At 48.2% G+C, this 17522-nt stretch overlaps 1 annotated feature.

The window, feature by feature from the left end:
* Positions 10661–11555: an enhancer, noted in NCBI's record as "H3K4me1 hESC enhancer chr1:37739665-37740559 (GRCh37/hg19 assembly coordinates)". NCBI's record gives its function as "activates a minimal SCP1, AML or CMV promoter by ChIP-STARR-seq in primed H9 embryonic stem cells {active_cell/tissue: H9 hESC(primed)}" and the evidence as "EXISTENCE:reporter gene assay evidence [ECO:0000049][PMID:30033119]".

Raw genomic sequence — 17522 nt, 5'->3', positions numbered from 1 at the left:
TATTATAAAAATTTTCTTATTTATAGTATTAACATTTATCACAAGCATATATGTTTATCACAAACATATTTATCAAAAGCATGCAGTCTTTGAATATACACTTGTATCATAATTTATTTAATTCTCTATATGATAAACATTTACGTTTTTCTAGTTTTTTGCTGTTACAAGCAGTGCTGTGCTGCCCATCTTCATGCATAAAGTTTTGTCTGCTTCTCTGATTATTTCCTTAGTATTGATTATTTTAGAAATTAAGGTGTCCAATTAAAATATGTGCAAAAAATTTGAAGAGGCATTTCATAAAACAACATATGCAGATGGACATAAGTACATAATGATACACTGTTCAGTATCATTACTCACCATAGAAAGTACATTAAAGTCACAAAGAAATCCCACTAAACATTAGATGGGTAAAATGAAAAAGACCAACAGTATTAAGCGTTGGTGAAAATATGGAGCAACTGGATCTCTCATATGTTGCTGGTGCAGTTGAAAATGGTACAACCACTTTGGAAAATGGTTTCTACTGAAGCTGAACACACACCTATGCTATAACCCAGCAATTTCACATCTAGGTATATACCCAAGAGAAATGAGTGCACGGGTCCATAACAGAATATTCATATATATTCTATTCATCATAGCCCCAAGGTAGAAATAATCTAAATACTCATCAATATGTAAGAGGATAAATAAATTATAGTAGTTTCATAAAAATGGAATACTACACAGCAACAAAAGAGGAAGAACTATTGGTAGATGCAGTTATACGGATGCATTTCACAGGTATTATGTTGAGTGAAAAAGCCAGAAAAAAATATGTTCCATATGATCTCATTAATAGGAAGTTCAAGAACAGGTGCAATGAATCCATGTTTGTTAAAATCAGGACAATGGTTACTTCTGGAGGGAGATACAGACTAAGAAGATGCAGGATGGCAGTACGATGATGCCAGCAATGTTCCTTTTCTTGATCTTGGTGGTAATTATATGAGTGTATAGAAAAGTAAAAAAATGATGAAGCCATATAATGAAAACAAATATGCTTTTTATGTTTCACTGTGTGTAGGTTATCTTTCAATTAAAAAGAAATTCGGGTGGGATTTGGATGACATCAGAAAGTTTTACTGCCAGGAATTCAGAAATTCAAAGATCCATTCTTCCTGGTTACTGATCAACCTGCCTTTGAGGTTTTAAAGAAGTGATACATAACGAACAATAGCAGAACTGGAATGCAAGTACCTCTTTATTAATAGTCATCCAAGTGTTACCCAATGTCCCCAATTCAGAACTGAAGTACAAGGCTGAGTTGCAGTGCATGCCTTAGCTTGAGGCTCGAGCAGGGTGCAACACTCCTTCTCCTTCTTGACAGCAACATACCCAGGTGTGCCCTCAAGCTCTGTCCATGGGATAGAGGCAGGAAGTACCAGCAAGAGCACTCCCTGGAGGTGCTGACCTTTTGAATATGGACTGATGGGTGCCTCACACTCCGATCAGTCAGATGGCTATTTCTCCTTCTTTGTGAGGGCAGCGGGGAGTCCTAAAGGGATTGGGCAGGGGACATCTGGCATAAGGAGTATAGCTGAAGCATTTCTCCTCTCTCCTGATTTCCAGAAGGGAAAAGGGAATGAAGATTTTGTTTTTTGTCAAGTTACCCTCCAGGGAGTTTGCATCATTTTCCACTCTCACCAATAGCACACAAGAAAGTCAATTTCACCACATCCTTGCAAGACTGAGTGTTACCATTTTATCAGGCAGGATATGGAGCCTCAGCATGCTTGCCTTTGACACCAAAAACAGAAGCTGTTCTTTCCTTCCTAAGTCGCTCTGACTCTGAGGCATGCCTGGGTGAAACTAAACTAGTTGCTTCTGCCACACTGGATTAGACCTGGAATTGGTCCAAGAGCCCCAGACAAGACCTAAGGATGGCCCTGAGGATGGAGCCAGTGTATTGGAGCCCAGGGAAGGGGCTCCTTGTTGGATGGAGAATCCATCAAGTCCTCTTTCTGGGTAACATTCAGGGGGACACAGACAAACCGAAGGCACTGACTGGAGCTCAGCTGCATCCCAGAGCAGGCTGAGTGACTACTTTCTGTTTCCGCTAGACTGTGTGCCAACAGCCCCCAAAGAGATAGTTCCCCTGTGACCTGTTTCTCCCAGGTATCTTGATGATAAACTCCATCAGCAAAGAAATCAGGATCTCACCCCTGCCTCCCTAAAGGCCCAGGTCAATATGAATGTTTTTTCCCTTAAAACCTTTTCTAATTTGTCCACAAAAAATGGTGCCATGGTTGTAATTAGCATTGCTTCTTTGACTGCAAGTGAGGTTGAACCTTTCTTCCTAGGTTTATTGGACATTTGTACCTCCACTTCTGTGAACTGGCTGTTTATGTCTTTGGCCACTTTCTCCCCTGGGATTTTCCTAATGGCTTTGGCTGGTCTCAAGAGCTTCCTCTCCTTTTTCAGGGTGGGGTAGATGTCTCTGGCAGTACAGGCCAGTTGGGTCTTGAGCCATTATGAGTGTGTATGGATGTATTTTTGTTGCTGTTGGTAGCTCTTGGCATTTTTTGTCTACAAGTACTTTCCCGGGAAGCTGTGTCAGCCCTGCAATTAGCTCCCTCAATCAGGAAAGCGGCTCATCGTGAGATGAGACACATCTCAGTGGCTGATTGCCTGGAATTTGGGAGCAAGCTGGCGGGCGATAATCTCCCACTTTCTCCCTTTCTCTGGGTCTCTTTTCCTTTTTCCATTTTAAATAACTGCTTGATTGTAAAGAGGGATGATTCACTACTCGAGATTTCTTCTGTAACTTTATGGGGAGGTTAAGAAAAAAGAACTGCCTCCTCCTCTTCCCCTCCCCTCACCAAGTCCCAAATCTCTTCTGTGCCAGTTGCTCCCACAGAAAGGAAGGGAGAGGGAAAAAAGAATGCAGGTCTGGCTACATTCCCACACTGCCCAGGAAAGTCCAGATGTCCTCCTTCAGTTTGACCACCGCTCTGGGAACCCACTTCCTAACTGCAAATCCCCTCCTACTCCCAGCTTCCTGCTCTACTACCTTACACCTCTCAGTGTCAAAAAATACTCCCCTATGTCTAACTCCAATTCCTCTTACTGAATTTCATTTTGTTTGGCCTTTGGAGCAGTTATTCCCTATCCTGTCTGATGCCTTCTTCACCATGTACTTTCCAGCCTCCCCATCCCCTCCCTTCCCCTCCCCTCCCTTCCCCTCCTTTCCCCTCCCCTCCCCTCCTTTCCCCCTCCCCTCCCTTCCTCTTCCCTCCCAAACTCCCTCCCTCCCCTCTTCCTCCCTCCCTCCCTCCCTGCCTCCCTCCCTCCCTTCCTTCCTTCCCTCTTCTCCTTCTCTCCCTCCCTCCCTCCAATATTTATTGAGAACCTAGCATGTGTCATACATGCTCTAGGCACAGAAGCCAAGCACTGAACAAAGTAGATACAGCTCCTGCCTTCTTGGAACTTACATTCTACTTGGGGGACCAGACAATTAAAAATATACAAATACTTTTATAATGTAATGGCTGGTAGTGATCAACTTAATGAAAAAAAGTAGGGCAGGAAGGGATGCTCTGTTGCAGTGGGTAGTGATGGCCTCTCTTAGCAGAGAGAAGAGTGAGGCGAGGGAGGCCATCCCATAGACATCTGGGGAAAGAGTGTTCCAGATGCAGGGAGCAGCAAGTGCAAAGGCCCTGGGGCAGGAGTGTCCAGGTGTATTGTGGCCAGAGCATCAGTCAGAGGTGAAGGGCAGAGAGTTGGTAATGAGGTCACAGAGGTGAGTGAGGACCAGATTATGCAGGGCCTGGGAGGCCATGATGGAGGCTTAGTTTTTATTGTAAATAGGATGGGAAGCTATTGACAGTGTTTCAAGAGAGGAGTGATGTGATGTGACTTAGGTTTTTGAAGCCTCATCTGGTTGTTCCATGCTGATTAGATGGTAGACGGGCAAAAGTAGAAGCAGAGAAATAACCCAAATAACCCTCCTCCCTCTCAGTGAAATAACCCCCTCCCTACAGCTGACAGCAGGGAGCAAATTCAGCTGGAAGTGTCACAGGCAACTCGGCGACTGTGCAGTGAGCCAGAGCCCAGAAGCCACTAAGGTGTAATTCATCTTTTACAAAGACAGGAGTTAAAAGGACAGATTACAAAATTCAGCCCAGTGTTTTGTTTTTTAAATATGAACATCTACTGTTTTTTTTTCTCTTTTAGATGTTTTGTTGATCAAATTATATTCTTGACATGTTGGGGACCTTCTACATTTCCCCAAATGCTGCCTAATGATGCCACAGTGCAATTAAGACTAATTTGTTGGCAGAAATAGTAGGAAGTTGTTCAGTTCTACAAAAGAACAAATCCCAGTGTTCTTATTATTATCCTTATTATTGAGGCCATTATTATTGCTAGAAACACGTGTCAAGCTGAAAGAAGCAGGAGGGAAGATGAAAAACATTTGGGAAGGGAAAAGAGGTGCCTCTGAGGAAGTCAGAACATTTGGAGCCAAAATTCCAGAGTTTGTATCTCGCCTGCACTACTGGCTCTTTGTGTAAGCTTGAACAAGGGACTTAATCTCACCAAGCCTCAATCTCCTCATCTGTAAATTGGATATATCAATATTATCTACATCATTGGATTATTGAGGAGTAAATGAGATGAGATATTTAAATTATTTCCTGAAATACAGAGTATTGTATCATTTAGGATTAAGTTTGGTTGTGACAAACATACTCAAAATAACAGTGGCTTACTTAAGTAGATGCTTACTTCTCTTTCACCTACAGAACTGATTTAGGCAGTGCAAAGTAGGTGCTGAATCTATTCTATCATGTCTTTAGGGACCCAGGTTCCTATTGTTCCCTGGTCTAAAATAGTGGCCAAAGCTCTATCATGGTTACTGTCCAGGCAGCAAGGTGGGGAAAGAGTGACAAAGGGGCCAAAGGGCACATGCCAGCTGCATTTAAGTAAGCTATCCCCTGACACATTCATTTACATCTCATTGGCTAGAGCTTAGGCACATGGCTGTATCTAGCTGCAAGGGATGCAGGGAAGTGTAGCCTTTATTCCAGGAGGCCTTTTTGTCCAGCCCCAAAGTGAGGATTCTAATACAATGGAAGAAAGGAAGGCTGCATTATAAGAGCCTGCACATTAAGAGATAAGTGGAGGCCTCTCCAAAGGTGGCCCTAGAGGAAGGAGAAGGAAGGGAGAAGAGTTAGAATTATATTCTCATAGACACCAACCCAAATATCATATTTTGTCTTTTTTTCTCCCTCTCGCTCCTACCAGTCAACTACCAAGTCCTGCTGTCTCTACATCCTAAAATTCTCTTATATGCCCTTTCTCCTCCCAGTCTCCATGAAAACAGCCCTAGTTCAGACTTAATCATTGCTCACTAGGACCATTGCAAATGCTCCTCACTGTCTCTCTTCCCAATCTGTGGTCCCTCTTCTTTACTAATCCCAGTCTGTGACTGAGACCCAATGGAGTCCCACACTTCTTACAGGATGATATCCAACCCCTGAGCTCAGCCTTTTAGGCCCTACAGGATGGTCCCCAATCTCTTGTTGGCTCTGCTTATATACCTTCCGGGCAGCCAGGCAGAATATTTTGTTGTTAGTTGAATGAGCCACATCCTCTGCACTTCCCTGTCTTTGAACCTGCTCTTTCCTGTACCATTCTTCTCTTTCTTGATTGGAAAATTCCTATTCAAGCTTTAAAATCCACATCAAATGTACCCTCCTCTTAAGTCTTTAGTGCTGTGACACTCATTTGGCTGTTTGCCTTCAAACCCATCTCTTACTCTTCCCCTTCTCCACTCTACCATGGGGGTGTTGTGGAGGTGAAAGTGACTCCTGCAGAGTCACTTTCTCTGGCTGAGTTTAGTCAATAAGAGGCACTGGTGGGAGACTGGAGGATGGAAGGAAGAAGGAAGCCAGGGCATTTCTCATCTTTTTCTTTGCCTGGGGTAGCATCTGTGGCAGTGAGTACATCTCTTTGCAGACAATGGCCCCCTCTGTGGTTTCAGATTCTGCTGAGCAGGCTTCCCTGTAGTCTAGCTCCTTGCAGGAAAACCCCAGCTCTGAGATAGAGTAAAACCATCTCTTTTCACTGTCCTTCCATTTCCAAAGTAGCTGGTGGCTTTTGGCTATTGCCAATTTTTTAGTGGTGCTAATTTGGGCTCTCAACTCTTCCATCATCTGCATAATCAGCTCCCTGCATTAAATTTCCACTGTATGAAATACCTAGAATGGTTTATCTTTTCTTAACCAGACCCTAACTGATTCAAGTGCCTGACAGTACTGATTCAAGTACTTGGCACAGAGTATGTGTTCAATAAATAGTTGTTGAGTAAATACATGATGAATTGAGCTTCTCTTCCAACCATGGTTCCCCAACTTGCAGGTGATTTATTTATTATAGCATGCATTGCACTTGTTTGTTGATGCATCTCTCTCCTCCTCCGTGGTAGCTGGGGATGTAGACACAATAATCTATGCACCCTGACTCCTGAAAAGCATTTATTTCATTTTCTGCAGCTGGGAGTTGGGAAGGAAAGGAGAAGAAAATAGAATGGAAAGGGGTGAAAGGTTCTCTATGGGTCTTTCTGCCTTTCTTATTTTAAATACAGGACCTTGCTTCTGGGTTCAGGCAAGAATTTATGAGTGTATTTAGGCAGCAACACAAGGGGACCTTTGGCAAGAAATGTTCCCTGTCATGCTCTGACAGCCTACAAAGGGAGGCAGTTGAAAATATCAGAAGGGAGATAGATTTTCTCAAACTCATAGAGGCTCCCAGCCCAAACCCCGCCACTCCTTTAAATGTCACCTAGAAATGGTTGGGGGAAGAGGGGAAGCTACTATTTTCTGGCTGGGATGGTGATTTGGTGGGGAGGAAACACCATAAGTGTTCTCAGATTTTAGTCTGCTCTGAAGACAGAGCAAGGCAATGAGGTTTCACTTGCAGTTAGAAGGATTTGTATTAGACATTGGAAGGAACTGTCAGTCACCTCTTCCCTGATGGTAATGTGAGGTAACTCAGGTGCAGAATTGCATTAACATGATCTCCTACCGGTCTCCCAGTCCTGTCTGCTCTAGCCAGGCTGGTCTTCATTCTGTCCCCTGAACATGTCTCAGGACCTTTGCACTTACTGTTCTCTCTGCCTTGCCTGCCCTTCCCCCTCATTATTGGATCCTTCTTGTTATTCAGATCTCAGTTCAAACACCACCTCCTCAGGGAGGCTTCCCTGACTGCCCCATCTGAAGCGTCTGCAACCTAGCCATTGCCTGGTTTCATTTCGTGATTCATTTGTCACTATCTGTAACCATCGTATTTCTTTATGTCCATACCTGTTTATTTTCTGTCTAAACCCACTAGATTATAAGCCTCTTGGGGGGCAGGAATCCTTTCTATTGTTTTCCCCCATTCACACCTGATACCCAGAACCAGTGCCTGGCATATAGTAAGCACCCAGTAAATAATTTTTTGAATGGGGGAGTAAATTAGTGGCTTTAGGAATGCCTAAGAAAACTAGTTATTGCCAGGTGCTGTGACTCATGCTTATAATCCCAGCACTTTGGGAGGCTGAAGTGGGAAGACTACTTGAGGCCAGGAGGTTGAGGCCAGCCTGGGTAATATAGCAGGACCCTGTCTCTACAAAAAATAAAAAATAAATTTAGTTGGGCATGGTAACACTACTTGGGAGGCTGAGGCAAGATAATTGCTTGAGCCCAGGAGTTTGAGGCACAGTGAACTATGATTGCGCCATTGCACTCCAGCAAGACCATGTCTCAAAAAAAGAAAAGAAGAGAAAATGAGTTATCATAGCTCAGGGGTGACCTGGTGTGCTTAGCTGAGATCAGTCTGGAAGGTCTTGTTTGTAGAGGAAGGGAGAGAATGGGCATAATCCTGGACTCACATTTAATGTGAGAGTTAAATGACATGATACCTGCAGAGCACTTAGCACGAGGTCTGGTGCATAATCAGGGGCTCTGTGAATGCCGGCAGCTGAAGGTCCAGATGCACCCCCTGCCCCTCCACATGGAGACCCTCTTGAATGCTGGGTGGGGGGTGGTGTCTGGGCTCTCTGGGCTGAAGATGGGCTCAGTACAAGGGCTGGGTTTGAAGTTGCCTGAGGTAGCCCTACTGTGGAGGCTGCTGAGCTAGAGGCCAGGAGGCAGTTGTTCTCTGGGGCCTGGAAAGACTATCAGCACCATCACTGAGCCTCCAAGGACCTTGTGCCCAGGCATGTAAAACAGTTGCTGAGTGGGTGGACTCTGGATTCAGATACCTGAATTTGAATCTTGGTTCTCCTGTTTACTAGATGGGAAGGTAGCTTAACCTCCCTGTATGTCATTTTTCCCATCTAAAGAGTTGGGATGGTAATGATAGTTGCCTAATAGTACCTGCTCAAGTCTGTGAGGGTTTAGTGAGTGTATGTAAGCACTTAGACCTGTGCCTAGAATAGAGTAAGTGCCACATATGTGTTAGCTGTCCAACAACAATGATAACTATTGCTATTAGTTCTCTGAGGGTTTTTGGCTGAATTGTGTCCCCTCAAGTTCATATGTTGAAACCCTCACCCCTAATAGCTCAGATTGGGACATAGAGACTTCAAGGAGATGACTAAGTTAAAAGCAGATGTTAGGGTGGGCCTTAATTTAACCTGACTGGCTTTCTTATAAAAGGAAATTTGGACACACAGAGAGACACCAGGGGTGCATGTGCACAGAGAAAAGGCCATGAGGACAGAGAGAAGGTCCCATCTGCAAGCCAAAGAGAGAGGCCTCAGGAGAAGCAAAACCTGCCAACACCTTGCTTTTGGAATTCTAGCTTCCAGAACTCGAAAGCTAGAAGATAAATTTCTGTTATGTTATTTTATTTTAGTATTTAAACTGTCTGTGGTCTTTTGCAATGGCAGCCCCAGTGGACTAATACACTGGGTCAAGAAATTCAGAGGCCCAGAGAATGGGGCTGAGTATCTTCTTCACCCTCATGGGACGTCCGCATTGTAGAAGCAGCTACAGCACAACCTCAGGCCTCCCTCTGCCTGCACCTCCCTGAGTAACTCACAGCCCTAGGCTCCAGACCTTCCTCCTGCCTGGCAGTCATTACCAGTGCGTCCTTAGTCTATCACTAGGCCTGTCTGTGACTTGCTCAGTGGGTCAGGGCAGTGCTAAGGAGGCCAAAGCCAGCCTTCTTGAGACCTGTTCTTTTATATGAAAAAAGCAAACAGAAAAGGTGACCCCCTGTCTGGACACCTCAGCAAACATGAACTGTTGACATTCAGTCTGTGGGCCAGGGACAAGCTTGGCTTTTTCCAAGAATATTATCAGTTTGTTTTACTTCTGTCACAGGAGGCCCTGAAGAGACTGAATGGGAGAGTGTGACTGCTCCCTGCAAATCCTCCCCATGTCTGGACTGAGGAAATAGCTCGAAGCACCATCCGTCTCCTGGTGGAGCAGCAGCAGCGTCCAGAGTAAGGACTCCTTAGACTGAGAGACTCAAAAACAGCCAGTCTGGAGGGTGGTTAGAGACACACTTATATTATGGATGGAGAAATTGCGGTCCCAGGAGTGCTGGGACCCACGGACTCCTGCTCAGCTCCCACTTACAGCAACACCAGGCATTTCCAGGGCTATCTCACCCATGTGTGGTCCTGTCACTTCCTCTCCCAATCTACTCTGATCCCAGGCTCATCCTCCACCCTGGTGGTTACAACATACAGGGAGTACTTATTAGCCTTCAGGGCAGTGACAAACTGGAGAGTGTTCAGAGGTGGAGGGTAGGATGGGAAATGGGCTTGAAAATCTATCTTGGGAGAGTCAAGTGAAGATGCATGCAGGTCAGCCCAGAGAAGGTCAAACAATTCAGAAGGGGTGCTGAGGGATGGAGGATGCCAGGCCATAAGGAAGGAGCAGGAAAAACAGCAGGATGATCCACAAAATGTCAGAGCCTGACTCAGTATAAGGGAGTCCCTTTCACAAAATAATAATAAACTTAGACTCCAATAGTCTTCAACCCCTTCTATTCCATCTCACCCCCAACTCCCAACTCTGCCTCGACCCTTGGAGTCTTATATCCCTCCTCTTCAGTCAGAGCCAATCCCAGTGAAGCAGGCAGAAATGGGCCCACCTGATTGGAGCAAGGGAGGTCTAAAGGTGGGCCCAAGTGGTTGACTGACTGGAAGGGCAGCTTGCCTTGGCTAGGGCTGTGGCTGCAGGGAGAGGATGGGCACTTTGCTGGAGGGCAGAGTGGGCAGAGGCTCCAGAGCAGCTGGTCAGCCGGGGGTCTTTGGCAGTGGCAGTAGCTCTGCTCAGCTGGTGAAGTGATGTTCTCCTCTGATTGAGCTAATTATGCTGATTGAATTTCCTCCTTCTCCCTTCAGTGCCTCCCGCCTCCTCCTCTCCCCTGTCTCTTCCCCACCCCTCCCTTTAGAGAGAAAGGGAAAGGTTTCCTTAATGTGACTGGTAATTGTTATGCACACAGTGTCAGATGTTAATGTAGACCCTGATTGACAGCTAATCAGCCCATCAGCTGTACAAAAAGAGTGAATAACTCGGTAATTTGATTTCCCCTGATTCCCCTGCGTGGGATGGCAGGAAAGTCTAAATTAGCAATCAGGGAGCCCATGGCAGATCCTGGAGGGTGGTGGTGGGGACCAAGGGGCTGCAGTGCAGCTGCAGCCCTGTAAGGCCCGGTATCCATGGTGGGGAGAGCCCCTATTGGCCTCGCTTTGAGTGGTAGAGGGGCTTTGTGAGCCACACAGGCTAAATGTGGGGGGTAGCAGAGTAAAGTCCCCATCCAGCGGGTGCCCCTTCCTTCCTTGGTGGTGGCAGGGGAGGTGGCAGGCTGGCTTCTGGGAGAGGAAGGCGGCCTGGGAGTGTCCTCACCTCCTGTTGTCTAGGAGACCTCATGGTGGAGGTGGGAGGGATGTGGCAGCTTCCGCCCCACCCTCCGGCCCTTTCGGAGCTGGTTGCCAGGGTTTCTACCATGTGACCCAAATTCTTCTAATTTAGCGAAATAGGAGTCCCCTCACTCAGCTTTTGGCAGATTCCATTCAGGTAAAATGAAACACAGGAGAAGCACCTGTGGATTATTTTCTCCCAAATGAAACCGTTTCCAGCCTTCTTGGGCAGGCAATAGTAGCTGGTCACAGTTGGCATTTGCTGGGGACTCACTGTGGCCTGGGGACTGTGCCGAGTGTTGTCTGTATCCATTGCATGGAGGAAGAAAGATTGAACACCTGGCTCAAAGTTCCACAGCGAGAAAGTGGTGGATCTGGGATTCGAACCCGGGGCAGCTCCAGCTTCTCAGCTATGGCCAGGGAGGCGGGATTAGCGGTAGTTTCCACTAGGGCCTAGCCTGGGGTGCCATCTTCTCATCAGAAGACTGTCCCACTCCCCATGAGCTCCTGCCCTAGAGACCTTTAGCCAGGGAAGTGTCTGTGTGTGTCTGTAGACCACAGACCTATGTGTGAATGTTTGTCCTTTTACAGATGGGGAAACTGAGGCCAAGGAGGGTAGAGGCTTGCCTGAGGCAATGTAAAGAGCTAATACCCAGCCTGGGCTGGAACCTGGCTCTCCTGCTCCTGCCCAGCAGTGCCCAGTGTGGACCTCCTCTCCTGCCCTGTCTCTCCCCTTACTCCTAGCCCCCTCCCCCTATTTCACCCCAACTGTGGGAGCTAGTGGTGGGGGCGGGGGGCTGGAGCTGGGCAGCCAGCAGGGCCTAGAGATGCCAGGGGAGGACTCTAGGTGGCAACAATACATTGTTGAGCAGCAGCAGCTCCACTTGCAGAGGAGGTAGGTGGCTGCTGAGGAGGGAGGGGCTTTTGCTTTGTCCCCCTCAGCGTTCTAAGAACATGGTGGCCTGAGCCTGGGAGCTGGAAGGGCTGCCTGTGGTGTGGTCCATGTGTGTGCACTTAAGTGTATCCCACCTGTGTTCACGCTGCATGCCCTGGCCCATCTGTGGGGGGCCAGGACCAGCCCATCAGGCCCCAGAGTCCATCTCTCCCCGAGCTCTTCTGCCACCACCACCGACTCCAGGTAGATCAGGCATCTGGATGCTGAGAGTGGGCAAGGGGTCTAGGGAGAGACTCGAGAAAGGAGCCGTGGTCTTGTCCTCAGGTGGCTTGGGAGGTTGGGCTTATAGAGAGCAACAGCCAGAGGAAGCAGGGGTTGAATGCGAAGCCTGGGGATGGGACTTGCTCTTGTGTGCAGGTGGTGGGGGAGGAGGTGTGTGATGGGAATGACAATACCAGCGGTAGTGCTCTTACTCTTGTTGATTGAGCTCTTATTTAGTGCCAGGCTCTGATTAAGCACTCGACATTTATTAACAAATTTAATCCTCACAACAGCCCCATAAGGGAGCCCTTATTCTCCCCATTTTACAGATGAAAAGTAACTTGCCCTAGGCACCCAGCTAAGCAGTAGGAGAACTGGCTTCTGAATCTGGGCTGTTTGTGTGCTGGGAAAGAAGAACCAAGGGACTGCTGAGGATGCTGAGCATCTCCAGGGCTTTACCATGCACCTAGCACTGGGGACTTTGCAAAGTACTTGCTGTTCATCATGCCATTTCATCCTCCCTGCAACGCTAGAAGGCGGGTTAGGATCCCATCCTCCAGAAGAGGCCAGTGCAGCTCAGAGGACGTCACGCAGCTTGTGAACCCCTGAGCTGACTCCCTGAGCTCCCTGCTCCCACTGAGGGGGCTGAAGGTGCCAGCTTCTGAGCTGTTGAGGCTGCCCAGTCCTATCCTTACCCTCGGTCCTCTGGGAGGCCCTTAGGAAGCAGACCCTGCTGGCCACCAGCTCTGAGATCTGAGCGACATTTCTGTGGTCTGGCTGCTCCGGCCTGTGGGCTGTCACCTGGGACCATCTGCCACTTGGAAGGGCAGGGCGGTAGGGCCTCCACTGTTAGAGGTGTTTAGATTCAGGCCCCTGAATATGTCCCTCCCACTTCTTGCCCTTATCACCAGCAGCCGCCCCCACACTCTACCAAAGCAGCTGGCTGGGGAGAAGCTTCTGCCCTGTGTCTCCTTGGAGACCCCTGATACCCCAGGGAAGCTGAGGTTCTGGGGTCCCAGACCCATGGCACCCGTCTCTCGACTCCTGCTCAGCTCCCATTTGGAGCCTTGGTGGTCCCATGAGGGCCAGCTCCCTAGCAGCACCGGGCATTTCCAGGGCTATCTCACCCACGAGCAGTCCTGTCACTTCCTCTCCCAAGCCACCCTGACCTCACGCTCATCCTCTACCCTGCTGGCATCAGAGAAGACCCTGCTGACCCACATAGTGTCCATGGCATGTTACTGTTCTTATGATCTCATCTGACCCCACAGCATGTCTGGAAGTTGGTGCCACATATCCATATTATCAATGAATAAACTGACACCTGGGGAGTGGGGTGACTTGCCTTAGGTAAGAAGTAGAGTGGACTTTCTGTGATCCAGAGTCCATGTTCTGGGCACAGAAAGATTGGCTGTCCCCTTGCCTCCTAGCCCACCTCCCTTGGCTACAGACTGATTGGAATCCCCAGCCCAGGGCCAAGCTCACCCAGAAGGCATGGGGCACACTTGTTCCACTGCCAAGCCTGGATGGCTGGTAGGGGGTGGGTGGGGGAGAGGTATTTAGGATAAATTCAGCCAAAGGCCAGGCACATGGGGACTAGGCTAGGTCAGGACCATGAGCTAGAGGACAAAGAGGCAGAAGGAGAGGGGCTGTCCTGCACCAGCAGTGTGGCCTGGAGGCTGGTCAGTGTTGCTAGAGAGCCCTCGCCCACAGAGGGGCTGCAGTGGATAGGTCTGGGTGGAGGGGAAAACCACTGTGGCTCCTGCCCTTGTCCCATCTCCTGCTCACTTTCACTTGGGAATGGGGGGCAGGGAACAGAGGTGTCTTGTGAACTGCCTGAGGCCACATGGGCAGAAAAGTCAGTCAGGAATAAGGCTCCAGTTGCCCTGGGTCAACCCAAGGACACCTGACAGGCCCAGAGGACCCTTCTTTTCCAGGGTCAGTCATCGAAGGCAAGTGAGGCTGGGCCTGGGGGAACTGCAAAGCACAAGGTCCCATTTGCTGATGGTCAAGGGCTGTGCACGGTGGGGAGGCTGGCCACAGCAGCTGCAGCCTTGCCTGCGGAAACATTCCCACAGCCACCCATGCTCCCACGTGGATGCATCCCACAAACACACACATACCTCACACATTTACACAGCTCACACATGACCATGAGCATGACCAATGATGTCACAAATCATAGATGTAGACAACCACACCCAGGTGTGCGTGCACACACACACACACACACAGCACAACCAGGCGAGCTGGAAGCCAGGCACCTGGGGCTTTGTGCTTGTGTTTTGTCCTTGCTGTATACCTTGAACAACTCTGGGCCTTACTATTATTATTATTTTGAGATGGAGTTTCGCTCTTGTTGCCCAGGCTGGAGTGCAATGGCACGATCTTGGCTCACTGCAATCTCCACCTCCTGGGTTCAAGCTATTCTGATGCCTCAGCCTCCTGAGTAGCTGGGATTACAGGCGCACACCACTACCGCCCAGCTAATTTTTGTATTTTTAGTAGAGATGGGGTTTCACCATGTTGGCCAGGCTGGTCTCGAACTGCTGACCTCAGGTAATCCACCCACCTCTGCCTCCCAAAGTGCTGGGATCACAGGCATGAGTCACCATGCCTGGCCAGCTCTGGGCCTTATTTTAGAGCTCTTTCTGGTGGTTCTCCTGTCTCACTCTCCCCCAGAACTGACCACCCCACGTTGCACTGCCTCCTATTGGCACTCGGAGCTTCCTTCTATGCTGCTTGCCTATTTAGGAGTCTGCTGCCCCTAACAGAGTGGAAATTCCTCCAAAGGGGGTTCTGGGGCCTGACAACAGGTAGGTGCTCAGCTGGTGCCCTCCAAACAGGTGACTGCATCACTTCCCTTTTGACAGGGTTTTACTCCACCCCCAGCCTCTAGCCCAGTGCTTCTCACCTAAGGATCTTGTTAAAATGTGTATTCTGATTTTTAGGGCTGGGGGCTGAGGCTCCTTGTTTCCAACAAGCTCCTAGGTGATGGATGCTGCTGGCAGGTGCACCACACTGAGTTGCAAGACTCGTCCCTCCAGGCACCCCCTTCACAGGTTCAGCATCCTCGCTGCCATCTCCTCACAAATGCGGTGAGTCTTGGCTTCATCGCCTTTCATGACAGGAATGTCACTCTCTTTAGGGTGAGGCTCCTTTACTATACAATTCCTAGCACTCAAATCCTTCTTCCTTCATGAAACTGAGCTCCATCTCCTGGGAGCCTTCAGGGATTGCAAAGGTCAGGGTCTCTGGATTTGCTCTCCTCCTGGCTGACAGCAACAGTTCCTGCAGTGGGTCTGGGAATGTCTCATTTGTGCATTCAAAAGTTGGTGAGAAGCTGGGTGTGGTGGCTCACGCTTGTAATCCCAGCACTTTGGTAGGCTGAGGTGGACAGATCACCTGGGGTCAGGAATTCGAGACCAGCCGGGCCAACATGGCGAAACCCTGTCTCTACTAAAAATATAAAAATTAGCCAGGCATGGTGGCATGCACCTGTAATCCCAGCCACTCGGGAGGCTGAGGCAAGAGAATTGCTTGAACTCAGGAGGTGGAGGTTGCAGTGAGCCAAGATCGTGCCACTGCATTCCAGCCTGGGCGACAGAGTGAGATTCTGTTTCAAAAAAAAAAGTTTTTGAGGTGCCCCTAACGTGTGGTAAGGACTACATGCAACACTCCAGGGAAGTGTGGCCCGGGAAGGTGCAGTGAGGCAATCGTCTCCCTTAATCTATACACCATACTCCTACTGATAAAGCCTAAGACCGAACTAAATTTCTTTAGCAGCTCCCTCACTTTGCTGGCCCATATTTTCCTTATGGTCACCTAAGGACACCGGCACTTTACCCTCACTAGTTCCTATCTTATAACAGTCTTAATAAGTGACAATTCTGTGACACAACAATCCTAAAGGATGCAATTTATTTTTTAAGTTTTTTTGTTTCCATAGGTTTTTAGGGAACAGGTGAAGTATTTGGTGACATGAGTAAGTTCCTTAGTGGTGATTTGTGAGATTTTGGTGCACTCATCGCCCAAGCAGTATACCCTGAACTCAGTTTGTAGTCTTTTATCCCTCACCCGCCTTCCCACCCTTTCCCCTTGAGTCCCCAAAGTCCATTGAGTCATTCTTATGCCTTTGCATCCTCATAGCTTAGCTCCCACTTATGGCTGAGAACATAGGATGTTTGGTTTTCCATTCCTGAGTTACTTCACTTAGAATAATAGTCTCCAATCCCATCCAGGTTGCTGCGAATGCCATTAATTAATTCGTTTTTATGGCTGGGTAGTATTCCATAGTATATATAAACCACAGTTTCTTTATCCACTAGATTGATGGGCATTTGGGCTGGTTCCACGTTTTAGCAATTGGGAATTGTGCTGCTATAAACATGCATTATTAGCTGCCACCAAACTCCGGTGTGCAAGTATCTTTTTCGTATAATGACTTCTTTCCTAAAGGATGCAATTTGTGCTCCGTAAGAGGAGTCCTTCCTTTTTTCCCCCTGACCATGTGCAGACTTAGAGGTCCTGCAGTTTCCTTGCTGGCTGGCCCATGGGCGTATTCTCTTAGCTGGCTCAATACTCCTTCTGCATTTTTGTCCTGCCTGTCCCCCTACAGCCCACTGCAGTTCAAGAACTACAGACAAATTCATTGCCTCTTTGTCTCCCTTGCCCTTCTAGAACCAGCTGTAGCAGGAGAAGTTTTTTTTTAAAATTTATTTTTGAGATGGGATCTCAGTCTGTCACCCAGGTTGGAGTGCAGTGGTGTGATCTTGGCTCACTGCAACCTCCGCCTCCCAAGCTCAAATGATCCTCCCACCTCAGCCTCCTGAGTAGCTGGGACCACAGGCACACACCACCACACCCGGCTAATTTTTTTTTCTTTTTTGTATTTTTTTTTAATAGAGACAGGGTTTCTCCATGTTGCCCATGCTCGTCTCGAACTCCTGAGCTCAGGCAATCCACCTGCCTCGGCCTCCCAAAGTGCTGGGATTACAGGCATGAGCCACAGTGCCCAGCCTTAGGAGGAGGTTTAAATTGGGAAGCCTGATACAAATGCTGTCCTGTCTTGACAAGGAGTCACTTCAGTACCCAGGCCTTGAAGAACTGTTCCCCAAAAACCTATATGCCATGCAGTGCGTCCTACAGAGAAGGAGCAGGAGGAGGTGGAGCAGATTACAGCACTTCATTCATGCATTCAGTCACTCAGTCAATACACACATGTTAGGTACCCTTGCTTGCATGGCGCTGCTATAGCTGCTGGGGAAGCAGGAGAGAGGAAGACAGACAAAGCTCCTGTCCTCATGGACTAATGGTGTCATTAAGGGGCAGTGGGGAGGGGCAGACAAAAAAAAAAACAAATAGAGGTAGAAGGGAAGAAGCCAGGGAGGAAGATGGGGACAGGGTGTTGCTCCAGGCAGCATAGTACAGTGGTTAAGGACCTGAACTCTGAAGCCA

The sequence above is a fragment of the Homo sapiens genome, chromosome 1, assembly GCF_000001405.40.
Source record: "Homo sapiens chromosome 1, GRCh38.p14 Primary Assembly".
NCBI lineage: Eukaryota > Metazoa > Chordata > Mammalia > Primates > Hominidae > Homo > Homo sapiens.
The sequence above is the reverse complement of the archived record's forward strand: the minus strand, read 5'-3'. Positions and strand labels throughout refer to the sequence as shown.